The sequence below is a fragment of the Homo sapiens genome, chromosome X, assembly GCF_000001405.40.
Source record: "Homo sapiens chromosome X, GRCh38.p14 Primary Assembly".
NCBI classification, from domain to species: domain Eukaryota; kingdom Metazoa; phylum Chordata; class Mammalia; order Primates; family Hominidae; genus Homo; species Homo sapiens.
In genome coordinates, this window is record NC_000023.11 from 79,597,637 (window position 1) to 79,613,856 (window position 16,220).

The 16,220-nt window shown below is 36.2% G+C and overlaps 1 annotated feature.

Annotated features, from left to right (window-relative positions):
* Window positions 3,575–4,230: an enhancer, noted in NCBI's record as "NANOG hESC enhancer chrX:78856708-78857363 (GRCh37/hg19 assembly coordinates)". NCBI's record gives its function as "activates a minimal SCP1, AML or CMV promoter by ChIP-STARR-seq in naive H9 embryonic stem cells {active_cell/tissue: H9 hESC(naive)}" and the evidence as "EXISTENCE:reporter gene assay evidence [ECO:0000049][PMID:30033119]".

The window sequence follows — 16,220 nt, forward strand, 5'->3', positions numbered from 1 at the left end:
TAAGCCACTGTAAGATATCAGCTGAATAACTGCCATTCCTGTGAGCAGCGTAGAGGAATGACAGAAAATAAATGAATGAGGTGATAAGCCCTTGGGCTAAAGAAGCCAGTGTAGTGATTTACTGGTTTTTATATCTGTCAACTAATGACAATTTTTTTTTGAAAAAAGATACTCAAATGAAGTTGCCAGTATCTTAATTTTTGAAATAAGAACATAAAAAACACAATCACCACCTAATTTCCCCCAGCTCAGAAATGTTATTTTAACACTAAAAAAAAAATTAAATTAAAACATGCATATTTCCAGAATAAAGAAGAGTCTCTTTCAGTGAATACACTTGCAAATTTTAAAGACAGTTGTCCTGGCTATATCAGAAGCCTTGATCGATGTATGCTTTTCTTTTCAAAACTCCACCAATAATTTCTGTCTCAAAGTTCCCAGCAGTCCAACACACTAGAATATACGTCTTCCCTGAATAAAACTTATCCTTCAAATCTGCAGTGCCTTCTTACTCACAAAATACTGTAAAACCCCTAATGCTATGGTTCTTAATCATAACTGAATATTAGAATCATCTCAAGACTATTTGAAAAATCCCAGTGCCCAGGCTCCATTTGTAGGTGGAGCTTAGACTTCATTATTTTAAAAATATCCCCTGGGCATTTAATGTACTAGAAAGGTTAAGAACTAACTCCTGCCTTGTTGCTAAGTTACCTCCATAGATGGCCAAGACCAAGTGAGAAGACATGCCCTCTGGGAATAGACCTGCTCCCAAGAGAATGGACAGAGTCACATTTACCTAGTTACTCTCTCTAAACTTTCCAGTTGGATTATGTAAATCTGTCTCTTTCATTTACATACTCTGGATGAACAATATATTTATATCAAGACCTTCCACTGGTAGGAGTTGCTCTGTCTTCCTGCATGATGAGTTCTGCAAAAAGAGGCTAGCTCATTGCTTTCTTCTACCCTTCTCTATTTATTTGTCCAGGCACTTTAAACAGTTGTTCTCTAAACCACCTATATACACAGATCTTTCTATTTCAGTGTCCCTGTTGTTATTAGGAGTTATCTAATTAGGTAGTAGAACTGTTTCAGTATAACCCAAGATACTGACAGTGAGGTGTTTAAATAAGTGATTATCATTTTTCTGAGATTGATCTACATTATTTAACTTCATCCACTTCTAATTCTGCTGAAGAAGAGGGACCACATTATTTCCTCATCAACAAACACGTTTTTTCTAGGTTAAAACTCAGTTTTTTCTTTAGATTTCTATAAACTTTAGAATCAGCTTCTTAATTCTTTGGAATACCATGTTAAAAATTTTAATGGAGTTTTGTCAGGTTTTTGGACTATGGGTCTTTCCATCATCCATGATGAACATAGTATCTTTCTCCAACTACTTAATTCTTCTATTATGTCCTATGAAATGTTTTTGTTGTTGGTGGTGGTGGTGGTGGTGGCTTTTTATTGTTGTTGTTGTTGTTCCTGAGAAGTTCTTACTACTTTTTTGTTAGGTTAATTTTTATACAGTTTGTAATTTTTGAGGCTAATGTGACTGAGTTTTCATTTCTATTTGACAATCAGACATTGCTGATAGTTATCAGTCATCCTATTGATTTATTTGTGCTAATCTTGTATCATGCTACCAATTAGAAACCTTATATTAATTCTAAATGCATTTTAGTTTACTGTTTTTATAAAGCATAGAAAGTGATATCATGTCCAATAATAAATTTTTTATAACTTTCTAATAGTATATCATCATTTTCTTATCATGTTTGGCTTAGCTTTTTAGTCCAATATTGAATATTAGTGGATGCGTTACTTCATATCTGATCCTAATAGCAATACTGCAGATGTCTTACCATTAACTGTGACAGTTGTTTAACCATTGAAATTTAGCAATTGCTTTTGGAGGACAGCTATTGAGATGATCATGTGAATATAGTGATGTAATAAATTACACGAAGTAATTAAATGTTGATTCACTCTTGCTTTCCTGGTAAAAACATTATTTGGTCATGAATTACTATTGGGTAGCATACAGTTGAACTCTCTATGCTAATAATTTTATTTAGAATGTCTGTATCTATGTTGATAATTGAGATCTATGATTTTCCTATTTGGTGTTGTCCTTACCTTGTTTGGTTGTCAAGGTTGTTCTAGCCTAATAAATATGTTTAGTGTCTTCACATATTTTCATATGTACAGAAAGAGTTTACATGTGATGGGAATTGTCTCTTCTTTAAAGGTTTCGGGTAGGGCATGGTAGCTCATGCCTGTAATTCTAGCAATTTAGGAGGTCAAGGCAGGTGGATTGCTTGAGCCCAGGAGTTTGAGACCAAAATGGACAACATGACCAAAACCCATCTCTACAACAAATACAAAAAACATAGCTGGGCACGGTGGCATATGCCTGTAGTCCCAGCTACTTAGAAGGCTGAGGTAGGAGGATCATCTGAGCCCAGGGAGTTTGAGGCTGCAGTGAGCTGTGATCACACCACTGCACTACTGTACTCCAGCCTGGGTGACAGTGCAAGATGCTATCTCAAAAAAAATTTAAAAAATTAAAAATAAAAATAAAGTTTTGGTAATACTTATTCTGTCTCTTTTATAAATAACTCTAGCAATTTTCTAAAAATTGTGTGAATATTAAGTGTTTACTAATTCAGCCAAATTTAGGAATATTTTTTAATAAAATGTATTTATTTTAGGTTTTAAAATAAATCGTTATGAAATTGTATACGTAATTATTTTTTGAAAAACATTTTTGAGTCTGTCTTTAGTTTCTATTTTAATTTTTCATCATTGACATCTTTTTTACCTTCTTTCTTCTTCTAATAATTTTATTAAAGAAACAATATTTTATAATTCAGCCTTGAGGTTTTTGCTTATATTGTTAATTACTATTTATTATTATTAATTGCGTTATTTTATTTTTAGTTTATTTTGTTGCCCTTTTTCTAGATTCATGGTTTAAAAGAGTAGTTTACTTTCAATTAAATGTGAGTCTTAATGAGGGCATTTTTAGCTCTTATTGTTCATGCTTACTTTTCTGTACTTTTCCTATAGGATTTTTATAAATGTTTTTATTTTGGTGCATAATAATTTTTCAATGATGTCTATATTAACTTACAAATGGTTTACTAATATCAGTGTGTTTTTAATTTCTAGATGAATTTATTTTAGGAAATTACTTTCATTTGTTTACTATTGTTTTGTGATTTGTGAATATGTTTTAGTTTTAGTTTTTTAGATTTTTCTATATTTACATTATGGTCTAGTAGATAATTAAATTTTTTATACCACATATTTTTAAGACAATATTAATTCTCTATTAGGTCCAAAGTCTGATGTGTTGGTGAAATTTAGCATATACATATTTTAAAATATACTTGACTTTAAAACTTTTTGAAAATGAATTGCATTTTATTTTTTTCAAGGTGGCTGAATATTGATGTCAGATGCCAATTCCCCTCAGAGAGAATATGAAAATTACAGATCAATGGTCATGAAATAAGTTGAAATATCAGGGAAGAGTGACAAAACCTGTTGGAGAATTCAGAGAAAGCAACTGGGCACAGGAAAGGAAGGCAGCAAGAATCTGGCAGAGATTAACCCCTAAGGTACTTGGAGTCCCGTGGAAAGGATAGGTGGGGGTATTTCTTTGATCCTTTCACTCCTGTGAGAGACAGTTAACCTCTAAATTGTTTAAGAGCCCTGTGGGGGTCTGTCCTGCAGACCCCAGCTGCACGATGGATGAGACACTTACTCAGACACTGATATTCAGTGAAAGAGTGGGCCAGGGGGCTGCCGGCACTAGGAGCTGAAGAGAGTTTGTGGCCTCTCTAAGCTAGCAATGCTCACATTTACTTAGTACAGATTTAACTGACAAAAGCTTGAGTCAACACACCTATGGGCAATTAACTTGGTTACCAACCCCTCAAGCAGAGAGCAATTATGCACCTGCGGTTTATCAAAGGTTGGTCTTAGGACCACATGAGTAAACAAGCTATTTAGATAGACTCCTCTACACTCCTATGTTAATTACCCTTGCTATAGCTCAAAGATGATTAGGCTGCCTTCAACCATAACTTTATCCTGAGGCTTTTGTGAAAAACCTTCTGGCCTTCCAAGAAGATTTGTGTTTATTTTACAATTTTTCCCACCATCCTGACTGAACCCCTACAGAGCCCCTCTGACTTCATCCTCACAAACTCATGCAATGTGGTTAGTGGTAATTTGGAAGCTTCCTGGAAACAGAACATTGGGTGACTAGCTTGTGCAGGTGCACTTGCACTTCCCTCAAACCTCAATTAAGGCAACAGGCACCATACTGGTTATGCACTCATTTTTGGCCACTACCCTGTCCAGGAAATCTCAGCTCTTGTGTCATTGTATTGCCAGATTCCCCACAAACATACTCAAGAACCCATTCTAAATTTAGGAACAACAGGGGACCAGTGGGACACTAGGGAGCAGCAGGATTCCTGGAGATCTGTCATATGGTGCAGGCTGCCTGTAGAAGAAAGGAGAGCACAGTCTGCTAATGCACTCCCTGGGACACAGGAAGCATGGGTGCAGTGTTGATCTCTGAATTAAGGAGCTTTATTCCACCCCAGTGGATAGGCAGCTCCAGTGGCTGGGAATAGATGTAGAGAGGGAGTCCTCTCCTGCTCCCTCTATTCACTGCTGCAGATATGGCAAAGGCTTTTCCCACTGAGGGTGCAGATACAGCTTCTCCAGTGCTATTCATGACAGCTTCACCTCTGCTGAAAGGGAGCCTGCTGCTTCCCAGGCTTGCATGAAGAGTGGGGCTTATCTCCCTTTCCCTACATAGAGTGGCTTCATCCCTGCAACATAGGTCAGACAAGCCACAGAGCTGTCTGTTTTCAACTAGGGAAAGAGGTTCTGCCTCAAGGCCGTTTTGCCGGTGGCTACCTCACAAGCCTTTTTCATGGACCTCAATTCCACTGTAGCCTGCAAATAAAAAACAGTGTGTATTTAAATGGAAGGTTGAAACCCCCATGACAGAGGAATAATAAGAAAGTGGATCCTTTTTCTGCCTGCCCAGGAAAGGAAACTGGTGCAATCCCCTCCCTGATTCTTTTTACATAGCACACCACATCACAGACTGCTCCCACCTTCCTGGTCAAGGCATGCACTTCCACTCATGATCAGGGTAACCAAGGGTTGGCTGGCTTTTTACTCTAAAGCTTCACCTACTTCATTGGAGACTGAATTGCACCATCAAATAAAAAATATGCTGACAAAAAGGCATACAGCAAAGGTATGATAAACTTTCAGAGACCTTCAAACTCTCAGCACTGCAAAAGATACCAAGTTGTCTCATATGCTAAATACATTAAACAGCATTTAAGAAAGGCACAGGCCGGACGTGGTGGCTCATGCCTGTAATCCCAGCACTTTGGGAGGCCGAGGCGGGCGGATCACGAGGTCAGGAGATGGAGACCATCCTGGCTAACACGGTGAAACCCCATCTCTACTAAAAATATAAAAAATTAGCCGGATGTGGTGGCAGACGCCTGTAGTCCCAGCTACTCGGGAGGCTGAGGCAGGAGAATGGCGTGAACCCAGGAGGCAGAGTTTGCAGTGAGCCGAGATGGTGCCACTGCACTCCAGCCTGGGTGACAGAGTGAGACTCTGTCTCAAAAAAAAAAAAAAAAAAAAAAAAGAAAAGAAAAGAAAGGCACAAAAAAAATCTATAACCAAGAAAACCATATACACTGATGTGGTTCTCTGAAAGGACACAAAAATGAAGCCAAATAACCATACACAGCATACATTACAGTCAGACACTCAAGGGAGAAAATAATTAAAAATAAAAATTTCTCATTTAAATGATATAAAATTTAAAACTAATAACTGACAGCTTCTTCAGATAAGAAGAAATCAGTGCAAGAACTCCAGCAGCAGAAAAACACAGAGTGTTTTCACACCCCAAAGGATCACAATAGCTCTCTATGAATTATTCTTAACCAAAATGAAAATTCTTAAATTACAAGTAGCAAATTCAAAACACAGATTGTAAGAAAGCTCAATAAGATCAAAAAGAAAGTTGAAAACCAACACAAAGAAATCATACAAAAAATTCAGGAAATAAAATGAAATTAATGTATTACAACTAAAAAACAAAGACTTCTAGAAATAAAAAAAATTACTGAAATAATTTGAAAATACTCTTTAACACTTTAGCAATAGAATAGACCAAGAAGATGAAAGAATTTCAGTGTATGAAGACCAGTCTTTTAAATTAACCAAGTCAGATAAAAATTTTTAAAAAATAAAGAAATGAATGAAGACTTTGAAAAATTTGAGATTATGTAAAGCATCTAAACCTATCATTTATAGACATTACTGAGAGAGAAGCAAATGTAAAAAATTTAGAAAACATATTTGATGAAATAATTCAGGAAAATTTTTCTGATTTTGCTAGAGATGTAGATATCCAGATACAAGAAATTCAAAGACTATCTGGAAGGTACCATACAACAAGAATATCAGCAAGGCATATAGTCATGAGACTATCTGATGTCAACATGAAAAAAAAAATAAAACCTTAAAAGCAGCTAGAGAGATGCATTAAACCACCTATAAGGGAAATCTCATCAGACTAAAAGTAGACTTCTTAGCAGACACCCTACAAGACAGAAGGAATTGAGGTCCTAATTTTAACCCTCTTAAAAAAATCCAGCCAAGTATTTTATATCCCATCAAGCTAAGCTTCATAAATGAAGGAGCAATAAAGCCTTTCCCAGGCGAGCAAATGCAAAGGGAATTTGTTGCCACTAGACAAGACCTACAATAAATGCTCAAAGGACTTCTACATATGGAAATAAAAGAACGATATTCATCATCATAAAAGCACACATAAATACAAAGGTACCAGGAAGCACCTGCACCACTGGGCAGGTGGACCAACCCACTCTTGCCACTGGTAGCTGGGCAGGCAATTCTTTCTAGAGCTTCTGACCTAGTGGTTCCACTTCTGTCTGAACTCAGCCAGGAGAGCAACCTCCTATTTTCCTGGGAAGTACCTGGGCGGCAGGATGGGTGACCGGCCCACCCCTGCTGCTTGTAGCTAGGCAGGCAATGCCTGTTAGACTTCCACCTCAGGGATCCCTCTTCTGCCTGAACTCAGCTGGAGAATATAGCCTTCTGTTGTCCCAGGAAGCACCCCGATGGCAGGGCCAGTGAACCCATAAACCCTGACCACTGGTAGCCAGGTGGGCAATGCTTGCTAGTGCTTCCAGCCCAACGCTCCTTCTTCTGTTTGAACTTAGCCAGAGGGCAAAGCCTTCTGTTTCCCTAAGAAGTACTCAGATGCCATGGTGGGGGACTACCCACCTCTGTGTCTTGGAGATAAGCAAGCCACACCTTCTGGAGCTTCCAGCACAGCAGACATACATCTGCCTAAATTTGCTGAGAGGTGCAGCTTCCTGTTTCCCCCCAGACATCTTGATGGAAGATCAGGCAACTTCATCCACCTCAGCCCCTTATAGTCAAATGGGCCACATGCACTAAAAATTTCTGCACAGCATTCCTGCTTCTACCAGAACTTGCAGGCAAATGCAAACTCATGTTCTTCCAGAAAGCACTCAGACAGCAAATTAAGAAAAACCAGGTAAGGATACAGCCTGTCTGCTAACTACAGCCCCTGGCCTGAGGGAGCCCTGAGGACCAGAATGCCCAACAACAACAACAAAAAAAATGCAGCTGTGGAGACAGTAATTTGACGAGGCTCCTTTAAGACCTAGAAGTGGATTAGTATTGAAGCTATTCAACTGAACCCACCTTATGCATGCAAACCCATAAGGGCAACAAATAAGATAAAAGCATTAAAATCCCGTTTGAAAAACATTAATTTCAAAGACTGGAGAAACATCAGCCTACACAGAAAGAAGATAAATAACTAGCACAAGAACTCTGGTAACCCAAAAAGCCAGAGTGTTTTCTTACCTCTACACGACTGAATTAGCTTCCAAGCAATGGCTTTTAAAAAGGCTGAAATGTCTAAAGTGTAAGAAATATAAATGAGAAAATGGGTAAAAATAATCATCATCTACATTCAGGAGAAAGATGAAACCCAATCCAAGGAATCTAAGAAATACAATAAAATAATACAGAATATAAAAGATGAAATGGTCACTTTAAGTGACAACCAAACTAAACTGATAGAGTTGAAACACTCAGTTAAAAATTTTTCAGAATACAATAGCAAATATTAGCAGCATGATTAACCAAGCTGACGAAAGAGTTTCAGAGTCTGAAGGACAGTTTTCCAAAATGTAAGTCAGACAAAAATAAAGGAAAAACAATAAAGAAGAATGAATAAAACCTCAGAGAAATACAGGATTCTGGAGAGACCAAATCTATGACATGTTTGCATCCCCTAAAGAGAAGAAGAGAAAGCAAGCAACTCGGAAGACACATTTTCGGATATTGTCCAAGAAATTTTATCCAATCTTGCTAAAGATGTCAATATTCAAATTCAAGAAATACAGAGAACCCCTGTGAAATATTACACAAGAAGACACAAAGTCATCAGATTCTCCAAAATCAAAATTCAAAAAATAGGAAAGGAAGCTAGAGAGAAAATGGCAAAGGAAACCCCATCAGGCTAACAGTGGACCTTTCAGCAAAAACTTTACAAGCCTGAAGGGTTTGGGGACTGATATGGTTTGGCTATGCCCCTCACCCAAATCTCACCTTGAGTTGTGATAATCCCCACATATCATGGGAAGGACCCGGTGGCAGGTAATTGAATCATGAGGGCAGGTATTTCCCATGCTGTTCCCATGATAGTGAATAAGTCTCACAACACGTGATGGTTTTATAAATGGGGGTTTTTCTGCAAAAGTTGTCTTGCCTGCTGCCATGTAAGATATGTCTTTGCTTCTTGTTTGCCTCCTGCCATGATTGTGAGGCCTGCCCAGCCGTGGGGAACTGTGAGTCCATTAAAACTCTTTCGTTTATAAATCACCCAGTCTTGGGTAGGTCTTTATTAACAGCATGAGAACAGACTAATACAGAGGCCTATATTTAACATTTTTAAAGAAAAGAATTTCATAATCAGGCAAAGTAAGCTTCATAAGCATAGGAGAAAAATGATTCTTTTCAGAGAATAAATGCTAAGGGAATCTGTTACCACCAAACCTGCCTTAAAAGAAGTCATGAAAGAAGAGCTAAATACAGACAGTATAGACCATTGCCAGCCACCACAAAAACATACTTACATACATAAATTATTTACACGATAATACAAACACACAATCAAGTGTGCATAATAACCAGCTAACAACACAATGACAGGATCAAACCTGCACATATCAATAGTAACCTTGAATGTAGGAAGGCTGAATTTCCCAATTAAAAGGCACAGAGTGGCAAGCTGGAAAAAGAAGTAAGATCCAACTGTATGATGTCAACAAAAGACTCATTTTACATGCAATGGCACCCAAAGTAATGGCTCAAAATGAAGGGATGGAGAAAAAATTACCAATCAAATGGAAAACAAAAGAAAGCAGGAGTTGCTAATTTCTGGGAAAAAAAAGATTTTAAATCAAGAATGATTAAAAAAGTAAAATGAAAAATATGACATAGAGGTAAAGGGTTCAATTCAACAAGAAGACCTAAGAATCCTAAATATATATGCACCTATCACAGGAGCACCTAGATTCATAGAGTAAGTTCTTAGAGAGCTACAAAGAGATTTGGATAACCACACAATAATAGTAGGTGTCACTAACACTCCACTGATGATACTAGACAAGTCATCGAGGCAGAAAACTAACAAAAATATTTGGGTCCTGAACTAGACATTGGACCAAATGTGCCAAACAGACATCTTGAGAACTCTCCACCATAAAAACAAACAAACAAACAAAGAAAATAAAGTGTACATTATTCTCATATGCACATGGCACATACTATAAAATCGACCACGCAATCAGATATAAGAAAATCCTCAGCAAATTCAAAATACTAAAATTATATTAAATACACTCTCAGACCATAGCACAATAAAAATATAAATCAATACTAAGAAAATTGCTCAAAACCAATTACATGGAAATTAAAAAACTTGCTCCTGAATTACTTTTGAGTAAATAATGAAATTAAGGCAGAAATCAAGTAATTCCTTGAAACTAATGCTAATAAATACACAACATAGTAGAATCTCTGGGATGAAGCTAAGAAGTGTTAAGAGGGAAGTTTATAGCACTAACCATCAAAATCAGTAAGTTACAAAAATCTCAAATTAACAAATTAACATCACACCTAGAAGAACTAAAGAAACAAGAGTGAACTCACCTAAAGGCTAGCCGAAGTCAAAAATAACCAAATCAGAGCTGAGTTGAAGGAAACTGAGGTGTGAGCAACTATACAAAAGATCAACGAATCCAGGAATTGTTTCTCTGAAAGACAAAAATAATAGGTTGCTGGGCAGAGTAATAAAGAATAACGAACAAAAAAGATCCAAATAAACACAATCAGGAAATGACCAAGGGGACATTACCAATGGCTCACACACAAAAACAAAACAAAACTCTAAGGGTGAAGGGAGGGAAAAAAAACTCTAATAAACTACTATGAACACCTCTATGCACACAAGTTAGAAAATCTAGAGGAAATAGATAAATTCCTGGAAACGTACAACCCTCCAAGATTGAAGCAAGAAGAAATTAAATCCCTGAACACACTCATCATGAGTACTGAAATTAAATCAGTAATAAAAAACCTACCACCCAGGAAAAGTCCAGGACCAGACAAATTCAAAGTCAAATTCTACCACATGTATAAAGAGGAGCTGATACTATTCTTGCTAAAATTACTGCAAAAAAATTGAGGAAGAAGCAGTCATCTGTAACTCATTCTATGAAGCCATCATCATCCTGATACCAAAATCTGGCAGAGACATACATACACATACACAAACTTCAGGTCAATATCCTTGGTGAACATAGAAGCAAACATTCTCAGCAGAATACTAGCAAACCAAACCCAGCAGCATATCAAAATGCTAATTCACCACAATCAAGTAGGTTTTATCCCTGGGATGCAAGGTTGCTTCAACGTACATATCAAAAATGTAATTCACCACATTAAGAAAACTAGAAACAAAAATGACATGATTATATCAATAGATGCAGAAAAGGCTTTCAATAAAATTTAACATTGCTTTGCGTTAAAAGTCCTCAACAAAAGAAGTATTGGAGGAATCTATGTCAAAATAGTAAGAGCCATCTAAGAGAAACCCACAGTCAATATTATACTGAATGGACAAATGCTGCAAGCACTGCCCTTGAGAACTGGAACAAGAAAAAAAAAAGGCCCATTCTCACTACTCCTGTTTTTCTTAGAAATGGAATGTATACCCAGAGAAATCAAGTAAAAGAAAGAAATAAAATGTATCTAACTAGGAAGAGAGGAAGTCAAACTATCTCTGTTTGCAGACAACATAATTCTATACTTAGAAAACTCCAGAGTGTCTTCCCAAAGGTTCCTTCATCTGATAAACAACTTCAGAAAAATTTCAGGATATGAAATCAATGTACAAAACTGAGTAACCTTTCCGCCGGGCGCGGTGGCTCATGCCTGTAATCCCAGCACTTTGGGAGGCCAAGACGGGCAGATCACGAGGTCAGGAGATCGAGACCACCCTGGCTAACATAATGAAACCCCGTCTCTACTAAAAACATAAAAAATTAGCCGGGCATGGTGGCAGGTGCTTGTAGTCCCAGCTACTCAGGAGGCTAAGGCAGGAGAATGTGGTGAACCCAGGAGGGGAGGCGGAGCTTGCAGTGAGCCGAGATTGCGCCACTGCACTCCGGCCTGGGCAACAGAGCGAGACTCCGTTTCAAAAAAAAAAAAAAAATCAGTAACCTTTCTATACATCAACAAAGTCTAAGCTCAGAGGCAAATCAAGAAAACAATCCCATTCACAATAGCCACAAAAAGAATAAAATACCCAGCAATAAATCTGACTAGGGAGGTGAAAGATCTCTATGATAAGAATTACAAAACACTGCTCAAAGAAATCGGAGTTGATAAAAACAAATGAAAATTTATTCCATTTTCATTGGCAAGAGTAAACAATATTGTTAAAATGACCATACTACCCAAAGCAATTTACAGATTCATTTATATGAAACTACCAATGATATTTTTCACAGAATTAGTAAAAAAAAATAATTAAATTTAATACAGAAACAAAAAGAGTTTAAATAGCCAAGGCAATTTTAAGCAAAATGAATGAAGCTGGAGGCATCATGTTACTCAACTTCAAACCATATTATGAGGCTACAGTAACCAAAACAGCATGGCAGTGGCACAAAAACAGACATGTAGACCAATGAAACAGAATACAGAGCACATAAATAATGCTGTAAACTTGCAACTACATGATCTTTGACAAAGTTGAGCAAAAAAGCAATGGGGAAGTGAATCCTTATCCAATAAATGATGCTGGGATAATTGGCTAGTGATATGCAGAAGATTGAAAGTGGACATCATATATAGGCTATAGTAACCAAAATAGAATAATACTGGTACAAAAATAGACATCTAAATAAATGAAACAGAATAGAGAACCCAGAAATAAAAGTCAAATACCTATAATCAACTGATCTTTGAAAAATTTGACAAAAGTAATGTGAAAAGGACATCCTATTTAATAAATGGTTCTGAAAAAACTGGCTAGCCATATGCAGAAAAATCAAAATGGGCCCCAATCTTTCACCATATACAAAAATTAACTCAAGGTCAATTAAAAACTTAAATGTGAGACCACAGACTTATAAAAATTCCAGATGAAAATCTAGGAAAAACTTTTCTGAGTGTTCGCCTAGGCAAAGAGGCTATGATTAAGACCTCAAAAGCAAATGCAAGAAAAGTGAAAATAGATAAATGGGACTTGTAAACAGCTTCTGTACAGAAAGAAAATTTCAACATTATAAACTGACAACATACAGAATAGGAGAAAATATTTGCAAATTATGCCTTTGATAAAGAACGAATATCCAGAATCTACAAATAACTCAAACAATGTAATAAGAAAAAAAAACATTAAAAAGTGAGCAAAGGACAGGAACAGACACTTCCCAAAATAAGACATAAAAGTGGCCAATAAACATGAAAAAATGCTCCACATCACAAGCCATCAGATAAATGCAAGTCAATACCACGATGAGATATCATCTTACACTGATCAGAATAGTTATTATTAAAAAGTCAAAAAAACCACAGATGTTAATGTGGATTCAGAGAAAAGAGAATGCCCATACACTGTTGATGAGAATGTAAATTAATACAACCTCACTGGAAAACAATATGGAGATTTCTCAAAGAACTAGAACTACCACTCAATCCAATAATCAATCCCACTACTGAGCGTCTACTCAAAGAAAAATAAATATTTATATAAAAAGAACAGTTGCACTTGCATTTTTATTGCAGCATCATTCACAATAGCAAACTCATAGAATTAACCTAAGTGTCCATGAACAGGTAATTAAATAAAGAAAAATGTGAATATATATACATATACACATACATACACTCATTGTATATATATACAGGCACACACACACATATACACACATACACCCTGTGGAATACATGTGTTTATATAGATATACACATGTATGTATACATATATAATTTACACATATACAAAATATATTTATTAAAAAGTTAAGAAACATATGTGTATAATACATATTACATATATGAAATATGTGCATATGTGTATATTATACATATATAGGTATATATTATATATTTATACATATATGTGTTTATATACACCATAGAAATCTATGCAGTCATAAAAAAGAATAAAATTATGTCTTTTGCAGTAACATCAATGGAGCTGGAGAACATTATCCTTAGTGAAATAACCCAGAAAAATAAAATCAAATATCACATGTTCTCACTTATTAGTGGAAGTTAAACAACGGGTACACATGAACATTAAAATGAAGATAATAGACACTGGGATGACACAAGCAAGAATGGTGGAGGAGTGAGTATTAAAAAAGTACTTACTGGGTATTACATTAGTCCATTCTCACATTGCTTTAAAGAAATACTTGAGACTGGGTAATTTATTTAAAAAATGAGGTTTATCGGCTCAGTTTTACAGGCTGTACAGGAAGCATGGCAGCATCTGGCCTGCTTCTGGGGAGACCTCAGGAAACTTACTATCATGGCAGAAAGCGAAGCAAGACCAACACCTCACATGAACAGAGCAGGAGGAAGAGAGAGAAGGGAGAAGACCCATACACTTTTAAACACCCAAATCAACACCCAGATCTCATGAGAACACTATCATAGGACAGCACCAAAGGAATGGTGCTAAACCATTTATGAAGGACCACCCCTATGATCCAATCACCTTCCACCAGGCCACGTCTTCAACACTGTTATTGACAATTCAACATGAGATTTGGTGGGGACACAGAACCAAACCACATCAAGTACATTGCTCACTATTTGGGTGATGGGTACACTACAAGCCCAAGCCTCACCATTGCACAGTATTTCCATGTAAAAAACAAACATGCACATTTGCCTCCTGAATCTAAAATAATTTTTAAAAACCCACTGAGGTTGTGATTAAAAATTTTTAAAAAGAAATTTCATTAAAGTTCCCCATAATAATTGTGATTTTTCTATTTCTTCTTCATTACTCTAATGATAACAATTTCATATATAATAGTTATATATATATATATTTGTTCTTTACATTTTTTAGATTTTAAGTTATATTGTTAGATACATGAGATGCATACATATTATGTATTTTCAGTGATAATTTTTACTAAAATAAAAGTGTTTTCATTTTAGAATTTCTCTTTCTAAATTCTATATAGTCATATATGATATGCTTTGGATCTGTGCCCGCACCAAATCTCATGTCGTGTTGTAATCCCCAGTGTTGGAGGTAGGTCCTGGTGGGAGGTGATTGGATCATGGGAGGAGTTTCTCATGAATGGTTTAGCACTGTTTCCCTTGGTCGCGATAGTGAGTGAGTTCTTGTTAGATCTGGTCATGTAAAAATGTGTGGCACCCCTCCTCTCTCTCTTTTCCTCCTTCTCTGGCTTTGTGAAGTGCTTTATTTTCCCTTCAATTTCCAAGATGATTGGAAGTTCCTTGAGGCCTCCTCAAAAGCTGATGCCACCATACTTCCTGTACAGCCTGCAGAACCGTGAGTGCATTAAACCTCTTTTCTTTATAAATTACCCAGTCTCAGGTATTTCTTTATAGCAATGTGAGAATTGACTAACACAATATACTAATATATTGTGTTATCTATCTGTTTTAGACTTTTCTAAGAATAACTTTCTGCCCCCTTTCATTTGCAAGTTTCCTGGACTTTTTAAATCTAAATCTGCCTCTTATAAATGTACATTAGGTTTCTTTTTCAACCAAATTCGAATCTCTCTTAGTTAACAGATAAATTTAGTCAGTTCAACTTATTATAATTTTTGATACATTTGGATGTATTTAACTCTCTATATTTCTGGTTTTCTGTTTATCATGTTATATCTATGTTTATTTCAAGCATTTGTTTAATAGAATGTTTTCTGACTACTCTCATTTTTTTGAAAGTGGTACATTCTTTTTTTTTTTTTTTTTTTGGTGGTGCAGTGGCACGATCATGGCTCACTGCAACCTCTGCCTCTTGGGTTCAAGCAATTCTTCTGCCTCAGCCTCCAAAGTAGCTGGGATTACAGTCCCGTGCCACCAAGCCTGGCTAATTTTTTTGTATTTTTAGTAGAGATAGGATCTCACCATTTTGGCAGGCTGGTCTCTAACTGCTAGCCTCAAGTGATCTACCCACCTCGCCTCTCAAAGTTCTGAGATTACTGAAAGTTCTACATTCTATTTCTAATCTTTCACAGGTTACTTTTAAATTTTTAGCCCCAGTTTGTAAGCTTTTTTGAAATTATGTAGAGTTTATCATTATCTACATACATATTCCCTAAAATAGAACAAAAACTTTAGAAAGCTTTACATAGCAAAACTTCCAACATACCAGAGAATATTAGAAACTTGAGCAAACCAGCAAAAATTAAAGGAAGAGAATTTAAAAATGGTCAATAGTTAATATGAAATAATATGTAAGGAATAAAATAACATATCATTTGTTAGATTAATGGTGATATGTACAATTTTGTATCAAAATG